Below are 14,860 nucleotides of genomic sequence, written 5' to 3'. Positions count from 1 at the left end.
TTCTCCATGTTGTCCAGGCTGGTCTCGAACTCCTGACCTCAAGTGACCCGCCCCTCTTGGCCTCCCAAAGTGCTGGGATTACAGGCATGGGCCATTGCGCCCAGCCTGTTTGTTTCATTGAAATATGATAGGTGTGCATATTTTGGGGGTATGTGTGATCATTTACTACATTTGTATAATTTGTAAACATCAATGCTGATGCCAGAGCTTATGTTCTCACGTGATTTGCTTGGTCTCCCCCAGTGTGGAGTGATTTCAGACTTTCATGTCAACATCTCAGTCCTAAGTTAGTACCTGATTTGATAAGTCCTGAATGCACCTATACTACACAATGATTGCATGTGCCTGTACAAAATACCATTACACATTCTTTTTTTCTTTTTTCTTTGAAACGGAGTCTCACTCTGTCAGCCAGGCTAGAGTGCAATGGCGCGATCTCAGCTCACCGCAACCTCTGCCTCCCAGGTTAAAGTGATTCTCCTGCCTCAGTCCCCTGAGTAGCTGGGATTACAGGCACACACCACCACGTCCAGCTAATTTTTGTATTTTTAGTAGAGACGGGGTTTCACCATGTTGGCCAGAATGGTCTTGAACTCCCGACCTCGTGGTCCGCCCATCTCGGCCTCCGAAAGTGCTGGGATTACAGGCTTAAGCCACTGCACCCTGCCTACACATTCTTAATATCCGTCACATGACCTGTTTGAGATTAATGTACCCTTGCACTTCATTGATAGTTACTTCGTCTCCCATAAGTGAATTACAAGGGTTCTGGATTTAGAAAATCTGAGTTCAAATCCTGGATTCACCACTTATTAGCAAGTTCATTCATCTCTCAGTGCCTCAGTTAACCAATGTGAAAAATCAGATTAATAATAATAGTGCCCATCTCAAGGGCTTATTGTGGAAGATAAACAGATAATACACATAAAGCACTTAGCTCAGTCACTAGCACATAGCACATGCTAAAAAAAAAGTCCATGGTTACTTCATTTTTATGTCTGCAATCATGTGTATAGTCATCACACTTTCATCACTAATGTAATGACATCCATTCAGGCAACAAGTTATGCCTGGCTACAGGGACTCATCACACAGCCACCATAGGGCACTATAAAACTCTACCTTTTCTAAACAGTGCCACACAGGCTGCATTTATGAAATCCAATTATCATTTCAGTAGCTCCCTACTCATACACACAGAAAAACATGAATAAAGACTGAGGTCAAGTTAATAGCTTAAAATAGAGGTTTATTTATTTTAAGACCTGTGGAGTAGCGGGGAGTAGAAAATGGTAACAATTGGTATAATTATGATCATTATCTTTATCATATCATTATTATCACTAGTATGAATAGAACTCTTGGGCTGGTCAGCATCTCAGATTTCTGTACTTGCCTTTTCTAAAGGAACTAGAGAATGCTTCATTGCTCCTTTACAACAGGAGTGGTTTTGCCCATTCAGTTATCATCTCCATCACACCCAATAGAAGTTAAAAGATGGCATTTTGGCCTTCTATTCAAGCAGGGGATCTTTCTACACCTTTCATTACAGGAGAAGCAACTGGTATAGCTAATTCAATGTACTGTAACTAATGCCTTGGAAATGCCCAAAGCACACCAACCCTAATCCACTTTGAAGACTAACTGTATTCAGCATGCTAGGTTTTGTATTAAGCTATACATTATAGTGAAATCAGTTCTAGGGGAAAATCCTCTTTCAACCCAAGCTAAAACCATTTTTATTTATTTCTAAAACCTACAAGAGCCTGATGCAATAGACAAAAACTAAAGAAACCTCAGTAATAAGATACCAATTTAACTGTTGGCTGAGCTACTGCAATGGCAGATATGTGGTTTTTGAAAAAAGGCTGTGTGTATGTGCATGATACCTAGAACTCCCAAGATGCATATTGGTCCAAAAAGTAATAGTGACTATATTTTAATAGAAAACACTAATAGCAAGTTTCAAAGTCACCATTTTGCCTATGAGGCATAATGACAAAGTTAGTCCATTAAACAGTAGACTAACAGGAGAGTCGCTATTAAATCTTTTTAACACACAAAGAATTGCAGAAAGAAGTGAGTGGCTTGGAAAAGAGTGTCTGAGAACCTAACGACATTTATTTACCCTGGCAGAGAATTGCATGCTACCCAGATCAAAGACCTTAATGATAAAAATGATCTTCACCTGACCAAGACCTAAGGCGTCCTGAAGGCCACCGAGAATACAGAGCTTCATCCCAAGACCAAGCACCCCCTGGCTCTGCTGTGCATTGACTGAAAAGATAGCAATGTCACCACAAGACCTAGACAAGCCTTTGGAATTTCAGATAAATGGGGCCCAAAGAAAAGGCAGCCTTGGCTGGTCACGGTGGCTCACGCCTGTAATCCCAGCACTTTGGGAGGCCGAGGCAGGCGGATCATGAGATCAAGAAATCGAGACCATCCTGGCAAACACGGTGAAACCCTGTCTCTACTGAAAATACAAAAATTAGCTGGGTGTGGTGGTGCACACCTGTAGTCCCAGCTACTCGGGAAGCTAAGGCAAGAGAATCGCTTGAACCTGGTTGGCGGAGGTTGCAGTGATCCAAGATCGCGCCACTGCACTCCAGCCTGGCGACAGAGCCAGACTCTGTCTCAAAAAAAAAAAAAAAAAAAAAAAAAAGAAAGAAAAAGAAAAGAAAAAAGAAAAAAAAGAAAAGGCAGCCTGGCAGCCTTAGGGGCCTTTCATACAAACCTGCTTCTCCAAGACGCCAGTAGGCCATTCTGAATGTGTTTTAGCAAATATGAACTACCTTTCAAAGGGCATGTGTGTAGGTGAGAATATCTTCTGAAAGAGAGTCAATGTTGTGGGGTGGCGAAACCCCAAGGCTCTAGAGCGAGACTCATCTCCATCCCTGCTCCACTATCCAGTTATTGAGGGACATTAAGAGATTTGCTCATTATCTCAATCGTGGTTTACTCATCTGTTCATTTATCCTTAGAATAAGTTTACTGAGTAGTTATATGAATCAGACACTGTTCTGAACAAAACACAGCAAAATCTTTCTCCTTGGGGAGCAAACATTCTCATGGGTAGAGGGTGGGAGCTAAGCAATGGACATAATGATTAAGTAAATAAAAAAACAGGTTGGAAGGTGGCGAGAGCTATGCAAAGACAAGGGGGATAGGGATGACATAGGGTAGTCAGAGTAAGCCCCATAAGGAAAATTACATTTGAACAAAGCATATCAATAAGAGAGGGAGCTAAGCATTCATCTATAAAAACATAATAATACTGGTACTATCACAGAAGGTTGTTGGAAGAATTAAGTGAGATGTGGTGCAGAGTACGTAACACTGTCCCTGGCACACAATAAGTGCTCAATAAATACTAGTAAGAATAATAATTATTATTATAATGATGATGATGATTGGGCTGGACTAGGTGGCTCATGCCTGTAATCCCAACACTTTGGGAGGCCAAAGCGGGTGGATCACCTGAGGTCAGGAGTTCAACACCAGCCTGGCTAACATGGCAAAACCCTGTCTCTACTAAAAATACAAAAATTAGCCAGGCATGGTGGTACGCACCTGTAGTCCCAGCTACTCAGGAAGCTGAGGCAGGAGAATTGTTTGAACCTGGGAGGCGGAGGTTGCAGTGAGCCAAGATCCTGCCACTTCATTGCAGCCTGGGCAACAGAGCAAGACTCTGTCTCAAAAAAAAAAAAAAATGATGATGATGATGGATTTCTAAGACCACTAACAGTTTCTTCTAAGTCCTTCTGAGATCATCCACTGTACAGATAATAGCCACGTGTTTTCATTAGACAACCTTGAATAAATGATGACTTGAGCTGCGTCTTCTCAGAACAACCACTTTTTTCTGACTTGGTTCTGCAGATACAGTCCTATCTGACTACTAAGCCACCCAAGGTCATTCTTGCGCAAGGGCTACAGAAGATGCAATTGAAAAGCATGAGTCAGTGAAGGTCAGAGAACTGCCTCCCATCGGGAGCTTGCTCTGTGCAGCCCCTCTTCTTGGAAGCTGGGGTGGGGGTGGGACTGCGGTCCTGGATGACCTCTGAACATTTATCTGTGCAGGATCTGCCTACTCCTCAGGCGAAGACCTATGGGTTGAAGGATTTGAAGGTACCTCATGTATCCTGCAGCTCTTCAGAGAGGGAACAAATAGAAGTAAACCCCATGTAGTTCCTCTGGTTCCTTCCCATGTGGAACATTAAATTCATGCCTCCATTAAAAAAAAAATATGGGCAAATGGACCCTGAATTTTTACAGACGTTTCCCAATGCCTCCTTACCCCATAATTACACTTCCTGATGTTTATTGATCAGTTCTCTCTCCGATACACGTTACCCCAGCACTGCCATTAATGCAATGAAGGAAATACAAAGAGGTCAAAGAAAGCAGAGAGCCCCTAATCTCTCCCATGGACAGAATATGCTTTGCTCCATTTCTCAGAGAGATAAAGGGAATGATAAGAGGGAAGGCAGGGGTGGAAATTTCATTGTTGGTTTGGAGAGCAGGAAATCCACCTTTGAATAAGAGGGAGAGTCCAGGACCAGGTGAGCTCAGGGCAGACTGTGATATAATCGAGGTCCATTCCAGGGAGGTAATACTCAAGCTCAAGATGAATTTGGCTCTAAGTGCAGCACTTGTAAAGTAAAAAAGAGAGTGCAGGCTGGGTGCGGTGGCTCACGCCTGTAATCCCAGCACTTTGGGAGGCCGAGGTGGATGGATTTCCTGAAGTCAGGAGTTCGAGACCAGCCTGACCAATATGATGAAACCCCATCGCTACTAAAAATACAAAAATTAGCCGGGCGTGATGACATGTGCCTGTATTCCCAGCTACTCGGGAGGCTGAGACAGGAGAATCACTTGAACCCAGGAGGTAGACGTTGCAGTAAGCCGAGATCGCGCCACTGCACTCCAGCCTGGGCCACAAGAGCAAAACTCCATCTCAAAAATAAAAACTTTAGTTTTTTTTTATTAAAAAATGAAGAGAGGGCATATGGGTCTTTAGGGTTTCTTAGCTTAAAATATGAAATCAGACAAAATTATGGAGAAAATGTTATGTTTTCAGGGCTGGGTTTTCTATATCAGCACAACATTTTTGGAAAGCAATGTGGGAAAATGTAGTTAGAACCATAAAACTAGTGATATCTTTTGACCTTACAATCCTGCTCCTAAGAGTGTTGTAGTTTGGAGGAGTGGGGGCATTGGAGTTAGGCAGACCTGAGCATGAATCCTGGCTCTGTACTCTGTATTCACTGGCTTGTGTGATTTAGCTGAACTACTGACTTCTCTGGGCTTAGTCTCTTTCTGCATGAAAGAGGAAAAATAATATGCACATCATGCATTGTGAACATTAACTGATACACCACAGGTAAAGTGTCAAGTACAGTGCCTTGCACATGATAGGCACACAACAAATGGCTTTAGTTTTTCTTTAACAGCAATAATTATTATTTATTCTGCAAGAGAAAATGTTTATTTAAGTGAAAAGTTGACAACAATCAAAACACCAAATAACAAAATGACTAAGGAAATTGTTATATTTCCACTAAAAAAGAAATGCAACTAATTACAAATATAAACATATATCCACTGTATATTAACTAGTTTATGATAACTTTTGCATACATTTGCTGGAAGTGGAATAAAAATACACATACACTTACCACATTATGTATCTCTGTGTATGTATATGTATTACATATATATACAACACATGTATTTATATATAACATAATTTTCTATGTTGTATTAAGTAGTATCATTATAGATTTCACTTGTTCATAATAATTGTTTTCAAAATAATAAAATATTTTTAACCTAAAAAACATCAAAATTGGAGGGTGAGGCAGGCGGATTGCTTGAGCCCAGGAGTTCAAGACCAGCCTGACAATATGGCAAAACCCCATCTCTACCAAAAAAATACAAAAATTACCCAAGCATGGTGGTGCACACCTGTAGTCCCAGCTAGTAGAGAGGCTGAGGTGGGAGGATCACTGAAGCCCTGGAAGTCAAGGCTGCAGTGAGCCATGTTCTGCACTCCAGCCTGTGTGACAGAGCAAGACCCTGCCTCAAAAAATAATAATGATAAAATGGCAAAATTAAATTAATTCCTTAATTGAAAATGAAAAAATCAGGAATGTGCAAGTGGTCATTGGGTATTTCTAAATCTCTGGGGGAATGTAACTTAAGCCAATAATACCAAGCCCACAACTGCTACATCAAACCTAAATAATACCAGATTTGTTCCAGAGCTGACATTATGATTTCGAGAGCTCTACCTACCAGGATTCCCAAAGCCATCATCTTCCTCATTTATTTAATTATTAGCTATCTGTTGCAGATATTTATTATACCTGCTATATGCCAGGCACCATGGTAGGTGATAAATCTGTAAGCATCCTGCCCTCAATGAACACATAACCTACTAAAGAAGATAAGTTGCCGGGTGCGGTGGCTCACACCTGTAATCCCAGCACTTTGGGAGGCTGAGGGGGGCGGATCACGAGATCAGGAGATCGAGACCATCCTGGCTAACACGGTGAAATACCGTCTCTACTAAATATACAAAAAATTAGCCGGGTGTGGTGGCGGGCGCCTATAGTCCCAGCTACTCGGGAGGCTGAGGCAGGAGAATGGCATGAACCCGGGAGGTGGAGCTTGCAGTGAGCCGAGATCATGCCACTGCACTCCAGCCTGGGTGACAGAGCAAGACTCCGTCTTAAAAAAAAAAAAAGAAGATAAGTTATTCAAATATTTAACCATGAGGCAGTGAGATGTGCTATCAGAGGTATACAAGGCACTTTGGGGGTTTCATCCATTTTCTCAAACCATTAGGTAGGCATGAAGATGGAGAGGTGTCTTACAGGTAAATATAAATAAATAAAATAAAGCTTGCCTAGAAGTCACTTGGTAATTAAGTGGCAGAGTGTGGGCCTGATCTCATGTCTTCTAATGACACACTGTCTGCTCTCTTCACTCTAGCACAGCCTCTCCCTACGTAAAGTGATCTGGAAGTTCTCTTTGCCAGCATCTTCTTTCTAGATCTTCTTTGTCTTTCCTCAAACCCTCAGGAAGCATGTGCTCTTCCAGCTCTCAAGAAGAAGACATGGCTGCACTGCTCTTAGGGGATGTGGTCTGCAGGTGCTACTGGCGGGTGGAGCAGGGACAAACAGAAGGGGACTGGTTCCAGGGTCTTGTGTAGGCAGAGAACCGTGATTCTGCAGGTGGGACTCCCTGGCAGTATCGGAGTCACCGATGGAGCATCTAAGGACATCTGGGGACAACTGATTTTGCTCAAAAGTATTTGTTTTTGCTCTCTCTCAGGAGTTTGGGGCAAGAAATCTTCTGCTTCTCTCCAGATCCTATCTTCCTCCCTTCCACCCCATCATAACATTTTCACTTCCCCTTCCTCCTCTGTTTCTTTCTCTCTCTTCTCAGTAAGATTCCCCAACACACACACTTTTTTTTTTGGCATCTGGTTTTTTTGTTTGTTTGTTTTTTGTTTGTTTTTGTTTCTGTTTTTTTGTTTTTGTTTTTGTTTTTGCTTTTATAAGCTCCTTTTTTCTTGTCCCAAAATCTTCTCTTCTATGAGTCCTGAGTTGCTGGTCCCTGACCTCATAATCATAAACCTCATAGTCTCAGCCGCCTGCAGGCCTCCCTGTGCTGATTAGGATCAGCCTGTCTGGCACAGGGGGTCAGAAAGGGAAAGGCACAAGGCAGAGATGGAGAACACATTTCCAAAATCTGATCTTGTGACTCCATAAGTCCAACTCCACCACAATTTGGACTAATTGGACCTCAGTGAGGCTAAGTTACGGAACTATTGTTCGCCACTAAAGGAAAGCGTGAGGCGAGCACTCACTACACCTTTGGAGAAAGAACACTTTCTTTAAATGTTCTAAAGCCTCTTGCTTTGAGCTGCTTGTTGTGGGTTTTGTTGTTAGTTTGTTTGAACTATATTTTCAGGCACCTAAGTCACAGACTTTGAAAGCAGAAATAAAGCCCTTCTTTATTTTTCACAGGCCCTTGTTTGCAGGAACCCATGCTGGCTGCAGGCAGAAGTCGCAGAGTTTCAAGCATGTCTCATCTGTCTACAGGTAATTAGGCTGTGCTGTGGTAACGAGCACCCAGGGGACTGGATGGTGGGCACATTTTAAAAACCAAAGACGAATAATTGACAATTGCAGTCTCGTTCTCAGAAACTTCTGTTTGGGCTTCAAGACAGCGAAGGGCAGGAAAGACAGACACCAGAAGTGTCCCAGCTAAGATATGCAAGTTCTCAGCAGTGTCAGGGGAGCAAGAGTGGGGCATTTTAGAGATCAGATGAGATGACTGCGGCACAGTTACCAACATAAACGCCAACGTCTGTATGTACACAGCCCTTTGAGATTAAAACACTGCTACACATATAACACTCAATAAGGGAAGTGGGATAGGTGGGATGCTACTTTGTAGATGAGAAAAGAGGACCAGAGAAATTATACAATTTGCATGAGTCGCATAGTAAGAGGCAAAGGCAGGATTTCCAGCCAGGTGTGCTCCTTCCAAATTACCATAATTATCAAAAGCACTGGCACAGCAGTTATGTGATAAAACAAAGAACTGCGTTGAGAATCTAAGTCTCCTTAATTCCAGGTCAAAGTCTTTTTACTACCTAAAAAAACAAACTATGTAATCATATTTCTTTTCCTATTGTTCTTGGTAAAGATTAATCAGCGTTGTCTCTGGGTAAATAATAATAACATAAAAAAGAGGGCAAGTGTAATACAACAGCTCAATTCTTGTCCTATGGCATCTAGTCTTCTGAAACAATAGATATTGTACTTTATCTGGAGGGTAGAAGCAGCATTCTGCTTTCAGCTTCAGAGGTCTAGCTTAGAAAAACACAAAAATGTAAATATTGACAGGCTGGGTCAGCATCAGCGTTAGGAGGCAGAGTTATCCTGCATGAATTCATGCTTAGCGCAATTTAGAGATAATTCAAATTGTCCTACCAGAGTCCCAGTACATCCTAGTGAATTCCACTTATGTCTGAATGCTCACTACCCATGAGTGCCTAAGCACATAGGTAGTCTTGCCAAACTTCTTCAGTCTTTCCTATGGACAACACCCTCTGGCTCAAGGGCTGTGGAGGAAAGGGAGGGAGTCTCAGAATTTATCTTCATTCAATTCTGCTGTTTTCTTAGAAAACAGTGAGCTGTAACATGCCATCCATTTACACATCAACTCATCCAAGTTACTGTGAAAAATAAAATAGAATTCTGATCCTTTGGTTGGGCAATTAGTGACTTCTGCGTTCCAGTACTCGTTTTAACATAACCTAGATCCTGTGTCTACACAAAGTAAGAACAATGCAGGGTGAGGGGGGTTATCAGCCATGCAAACAAATAGCTGTAAAAACATAACGAAGGGCCAGAAAAATCCCAACTGGTTTTCTCCACCAGTGTAATGCCATGTTAGAATTCCTTTCCATTTCACTTCATTTTCTATTGTGTGACAGTCGTAGAGTCCTGACCTTTTCTGAGAGTGGCTGAGAAAGCGTTAAGTCCACAAAAGCTGATTATTCCGTCAAGTTTACACAGTGGGACAGTGACTCCTGGCTTAGGATTTACCATTAGGCTACACAGTCAGCCCCACACTGGTGTTCTAAAGTTTAGCTACAATGCTAAAGGCTCCAAAAGGCCACTTTCCTAATCCCATTCACAGACATCTACATTATCTCGTTTGAAAGTGTCAAGATGATGATCCTAACCCCCAGAGGCTTCACCTCATCATAACAAAAAACCTCATCACTTTAGATTCAGGACCCTGTGGAGTTCCCTTAGTGGGCAATGAGCCATTTGCCTATTGTCTATGGAAAAGCCTAGACTGTGAGCCCCTGGGGAGCTGAGGCTTTGCTTTTTTGAAGGTTGTATTTGCAGAGCTTAGTTTACAGGCAGTACACAAGCAGCATTCAGTGGTTACCTGTTAATCAATGAATGCACCTGCACGTTTAATTTGGGGAGATGACAGAGATAAGCCTAAGCCTGTCAATTTGATTTTCTTCAGCATTCTGGGACTCTGATTTGGCCCCTCATGCTCTGAAAAGGTCATGAAACTAACCCCGTGTAAAACTGCCAAGCTATAACCCAGACAGAAATGGCAGATCACCTGGTGGTGTGACCAACAGGTTCCTAATGCCCTCTGGTGGCCAGGATGATTCCAGATGTCCAAGTCCCCACAGCTTTCCTAAGGCTTTCAATTTAAGCACCCTGGAAGCCAAGAGCCTGCAGGTTTCACCTGATCCAAACAAGAGAGTCCTGGGTCTGTGGGCCAGAAACATGCCAGCCCCTTCCCAAAGTTCCCTGAGGAAGTTTCTCATCCGTTTCCTGAGAGCAGACGGATATGTCAAGAAGCCAAAACGGAAGCTTTTAATGTGAACTGCCTTTCAGTGAATGGTCTGTGGTTTCGAGAGTTCCCCGGGAAAAAAAAAAAATTCAAAGGAAGTAATAATTTCCAGTCTGGAATGTTCAGCTTTCCATTTGTTTGGGATTTTCAGATCAGCTCACCTTTCTGAGTGTTATAGACCTGTAGAAGCCTTCAAATTTTGTATTGCTAGCATTCCATGATTACATTCCCATTTTATGGAAAGACAAACTGAAGATACAAAGCAATTATTGAAAAAACAATAACCATTCTCTCAAGCCTACAGAAGGCTTTCATTTTTGTTTCATTTTAAACATGTGGTAAGTGAAAAAGAAACCTAAACTGCCACAGGGAGTTTTAGGGTAAATACCACAGGTGCAGGGATCTGCATGTTTTATTCCACTGTTGACTTCCCAGCACCTGAAACAGTGTCTGGCACATTGATATATATTTGGTGCATGAACGAATGAATGAACTGAGCCTGAAGATAAAGAGGTGTTTCTGATGACAATTATTGTATATTGGTACTAGTTAGTCCTTGTTTGGAGAAAATGTCATCTCCTCCCTTGAGAGCCCTTAAAAGAGAGTTGAATTCTCATTTATCTTAAAAAATATAAAATGTGAGGGCTGGAAGTCTTCATTGTCATTCATTTACTTCATAAATGAGTAAAATGAAGCTCAGAGAAGTTAAACAATAACACTCCATAGATCACAGAGCTATGTAGTGGCAGAGCCCAGAGTGAATCCAATTCTTCACCCCTAACAATTTCTTTAAAAAACAACAATGGGCCCGGCAGAGTGGCTCACACCTGTAATCCCAGCACTGTGGGAGGCCAAGGCAGGTGGATCACAAGGTCAGGAGTTCGAGACCAGCCTGGACAATATGGTGAAACCCCGTCTCTACTAAAAATACCAACATTAGCTGGGTGTGGTGGCACATGCCTGTAGTCCCAGCTACTCGGGAGGCTGAGGCGGGAGAATCACTTGAACCCAGTCGGTGGAGGTTGCAGTGAGCTGAGATCGTGCCACTGCACTCCAGCCTGGGTGACAGAGTGAGACTCCGTCTCAAAAAAAAAAAAGCAACAATGGGCTGGGTACAGTAGCTCACACCTGTAATCCCAGAACTTTAGGAGGATCACTTGAAGTCAGGAGTTCGAGACCAGTCTGGCCAACATAGTGAAAACCCGTCTCTACTCAAAATTCAAAAATTAGCCAGAAATCATTTGAACCCGGGAGGCAGAGGTTGCAGAGAGCTGAGATCGCATCACTGCACTCCAGCCTGGGCAACAGAGCAAGACTCTGTCTCAAAAAAAAAAAAAAAAGGAATAATGTTCAGTTTTTGACTGTGACCCACAATAAGAAGCACGATGTAACCCAGTATATATACATGCACATGCAAACAAGTGTGCACACAAAATACTGAAAAAGAATTTAAGAAACAACACTCACCTTCTCCATGTAAAGCAACCTGGTCTGATGTACAGTATATTCTATTTAATTTTTCATAATATTGTGCTCATAACTCCCTAAATTCATTTTACATCCTTAAATTTCAAAACACTTCACTATAGCATCTTGCCTACTATGCCCTCTCCCCTTGTACAGGGCTAAAGTCCTCCAGAATCTTCTGCCCATAAAGAGAACGAGAGTGATCAGCTTTTGGGGACCTGTTGGCCCAAAGTTCCTAATTCTCTGACTTGGTACAGGCCGTATCTCCCACTGTCAAGTTTCATCTAACTTGCAAGAGTCCAGTCCAAGCAACTCTCATTTCCAGCCAGGGTAACCACAACAGTGCATCTCAAACACAGACCCAAGTTATCCGCAGCAGCCTTGTGCCCGTCCTTGACTGGTTCTCTAACCCACAAGTTAGCAGGGATTTGCATCTCTACATAAAATAGCAAGTCTTTATCTCCCGCTGGCCCCTCTCCACTGCCGTCACTCTCCCCTTACCCTGGGAGCCTTCGAGGGGGGAGGATGGTGGCAGCCAGATGAAGAGCAGAGAAGGGTCAGAGCAGGACAAGTGGTTGGGTCTGAGGTCACCAGCTACATAAGTAGGTGTGAACAGATGGACTGCTAGACAGTCTTAAGGCTGTAGGCAGTCTCTCTCTCTCTCTCTTTCACACACACACACACACACACACACACATGCACACATGATTACAACATACTCTCCCTTCTTTTTAACTGTTTGATAATTTTCTCCACCATCTCTTCCCCCAACTTCTACCAAATTCTCTCCCTCTCTCTCTCTCTCTGTCTCTTGCTAACATAGTTAATATGGTGAGAAGACAGTTTCTTGGCTATTTCCCTTCTGACTGACAGGTTGAAGCTTTCTTCTCTGACTTCCCATTTTCCTGCTGAAAATCAGCAAGACAGGATTTGGCAAGAGAGTGCTTTGTGGTAGCCAGGGCTGAAAACCTCCCTACAGCAACCTGGGCACATTCCCACGACCCCCTGACAACAGGCGGAATTTCTAAGGTTGGCAGCTGAGCCCCTCTCATGAGCACTGCAAAAGCTGCAGGCTGCGTTTGTCTCTTAACGATGAGTATCGACTTGCCTGCAAGGCTGCGCAGTGAAGGCCATGAAACAGCAGACGAAGTTGAGTAATGCTTTGAATTTTTATCACCCATTTCAGATTTTCTCATGAATGATTTTTGACACTAGAGTTCCAGGTCTGGGGTTCTGCTCCAAAAGGAGAAGATTAGAATGAAGTTGGGAGGCAGAAGAGTACTACCCTAACCCTAGCTCTGCCACCAAAGTGCTGTGTGATCTTAAGTGCTTAACATCTCTGGCTCTCATTTATCTCAATTTTAAAATGTGAGATTAGATTTTAAAAACAACAATTGATCAGTTACCTTCAATGGTCTTTTCAGTTGTTCAGAAACTAATTTATTCTATTGAAAACAGTCAAATAAAGGAAATGAATCAAGCATTTGTTCTTGCTTTCCCATATCGACCACAATAGTGAGGAATCAGATACTTGCTGAAGAGAGGTACCTCTTTGAAAAGTATTCCCACAAATTAATAAAAAAGAAATGATAGAAGATTACTGTTTTGCAACATCTAGTGAATTGATGAATCTACACATGGAACAGTAATCACTGCTCACGCCACAAAAAGAGAGACAATCAGGCATTACGTGCTTCTCAATGAGAGAATATAACATTGTGTGCAATCCTGCCAAAAAGATTAGACCTAGGCAGATAAAACTTCTGAATTCAGCAACCAATTTGCAAGGAATAAAAGGGACAGAGAACATGTCAAACTGCACTCTGAGGATGAAATCAGCAAGTTCCAAACAGTGAGAAACACTGTAAGTCAAATGTCCTAGGTTCTTTCAAAAAAATAAGGTTAACAAAAAGAAAGACACGTAAGGTGAACTTGTAGAGTTAAAGCAACTTACAAGATGCGTCAATTTTTTCTTTTTCTAAGTGGCAAAGACTAGGCTAAAATGCCAGGAGAGTCACGGTTGGGTGATAAAACTAATGACAAGCAGGCCGGGCGCGGTGGCTCACGTCTGTAATCCCAGCACTTTGGGAGGCCAAGGCGGGCAGATCACCTGAGGTCAGGAGTTCGAGACTAGCCTCACCAACGTAGCGAAACCCCCTCTCTACTAAAAATACAAAAATTAGCTGAGCGTGGTTGTGCATGCCTGTAATCCCAGCTACTCGGGAGGCTGAGGCAGGAGAACTGCTTGAACCCGGGAGGCAGAGGTTGTAGTGAGCCGAGATTGCTGCCACTGCACTCCAGCCTGGGTGATGGAGTAAGACTCTGTCTTAAAACAATTTTACAAACAAACAAAAAACTAAAACAAAAAACAAAAAAAGCCTAACAACAAGAGACGAAATTATTATTATTATTATTATTATTATTATTATTATTATTATTATCATCATCATCATCATTATTTTGAGACTGAGTTTAGCTCTTGTTGCCCAGGCTGGAGTGCAATGGCATGATCTCAGCTCACTGCAACCTCCATCTCCTGTGTTCAAACAATTCTCCTGCCTCAGCCTCCTGAGTAGCTGGGACTACAGGCATGCACCATCACGCCTGGCTAATTTTTTTGTAATTTTAGTAGAGACAGGGTTTCACCATGTTGGTCAGGCTGGTCTTAAACTCCTGACCTCAAGTGATCCACCAGCCTCGGCCTCCCAAAGTGCTGGGATTACAGGCGTGAGCCTCCGTGCCCGGCCCAGGAAATGATTTATTTAAGAGCCAGAGGAATGATTGCCTTTGGGGAGGAAAGAGTCTGTGTTTGGATCAGGGTCCACAGAGGGCTTCTGAAGAAGCTAGCAGAGTTCTGTGTCATGTGTACTCTTTCCCGTATCTATGTTTTATTTTACAGTAAGATGGTTTAAAAAAAAAAAAGATTTTTAATCCTTTGGGTATATATACCCAGTAATGGGATTGCTGGGTCAAATGGTATTTCTAGTTC

The 14,860-nt window shown here is 42.5% G+C and overlaps 1 protein-coding gene across 8 annotated transcripts in view, besides 4 other annotated features; it reads right to left on the bottom strand.

Moving 5' to 3' along the window:
• The window catches only part of GRAMD1B (GRAM domain containing 1B), a 269,346-nt gene that overhangs the window by 210,007 nt on the left and 44,479 nt on the right, over positions 1–14,860 (bottom strand). The gene's annotated exons all lie outside the window — the stretch shown is intronic.
• Positions 8,172–8,351: an enhancer, noted in NCBI's record as "active region_5683". NCBI's record gives its function as "activates an Ori minimal core promoter by ATAC-STARR-seq in GM12878 lymphoblastoid cells {active_cell/tissue: GM12878}" and the evidence as "EXISTENCE:reporter gene assay evidence [ECO:0000049][PMID:35858748]".
• Positions 9,372–10,280: an enhancer, noted in NCBI's record as "OCT4-NANOG hESC enhancer chr11:123278189-123279097 (GRCh37/hg19 assembly coordinates)". NCBI's record gives its function as "activates a minimal SCP1, AML or CMV promoter by ChIP-STARR-seq in primed H9 embryonic stem cells {active_cell/tissue: H9 hESC(primed)}" and the evidence as "EXISTENCE:reporter gene assay evidence [ECO:0000049][PMID:30033119]".
• Positions 12,031–12,547: an enhancer, noted in NCBI's record as "NANOG hESC enhancer chr11:123275922-123276438 (GRCh37/hg19 assembly coordinates)". NCBI's record gives its function as "activates a minimal SCP1, AML or CMV promoter by ChIP-STARR-seq in primed H9 embryonic stem cells {active_cell/tissue: H9 hESC(primed)}" and the evidence as "EXISTENCE:reporter gene assay evidence [ECO:0000049][PMID:30033119]".
• Positions 12,139–12,228: an enhancer, noted in NCBI's record as "active region_5682". NCBI's record gives its function as "activates an Ori minimal core promoter by ATAC-STARR-seq in GM12878 lymphoblastoid cells {active_cell/tissue: GM12878}" and the evidence as "EXISTENCE:reporter gene assay evidence [ECO:0000049][PMID:35858748]".

Source organism: Homo sapiens, chromosome 11 (assembly GCF_000001405.40).
Source record: "Homo sapiens chromosome 11, GRCh38.p14 Primary Assembly".
In the NCBI taxonomy this organism is placed as follows: Eukaryota; Metazoa; Chordata; class Mammalia; order Primates; family Hominidae; genus Homo; species Homo sapiens.
This window is presented reverse-complemented; position numbering and strand designations above follow the sequence as displayed.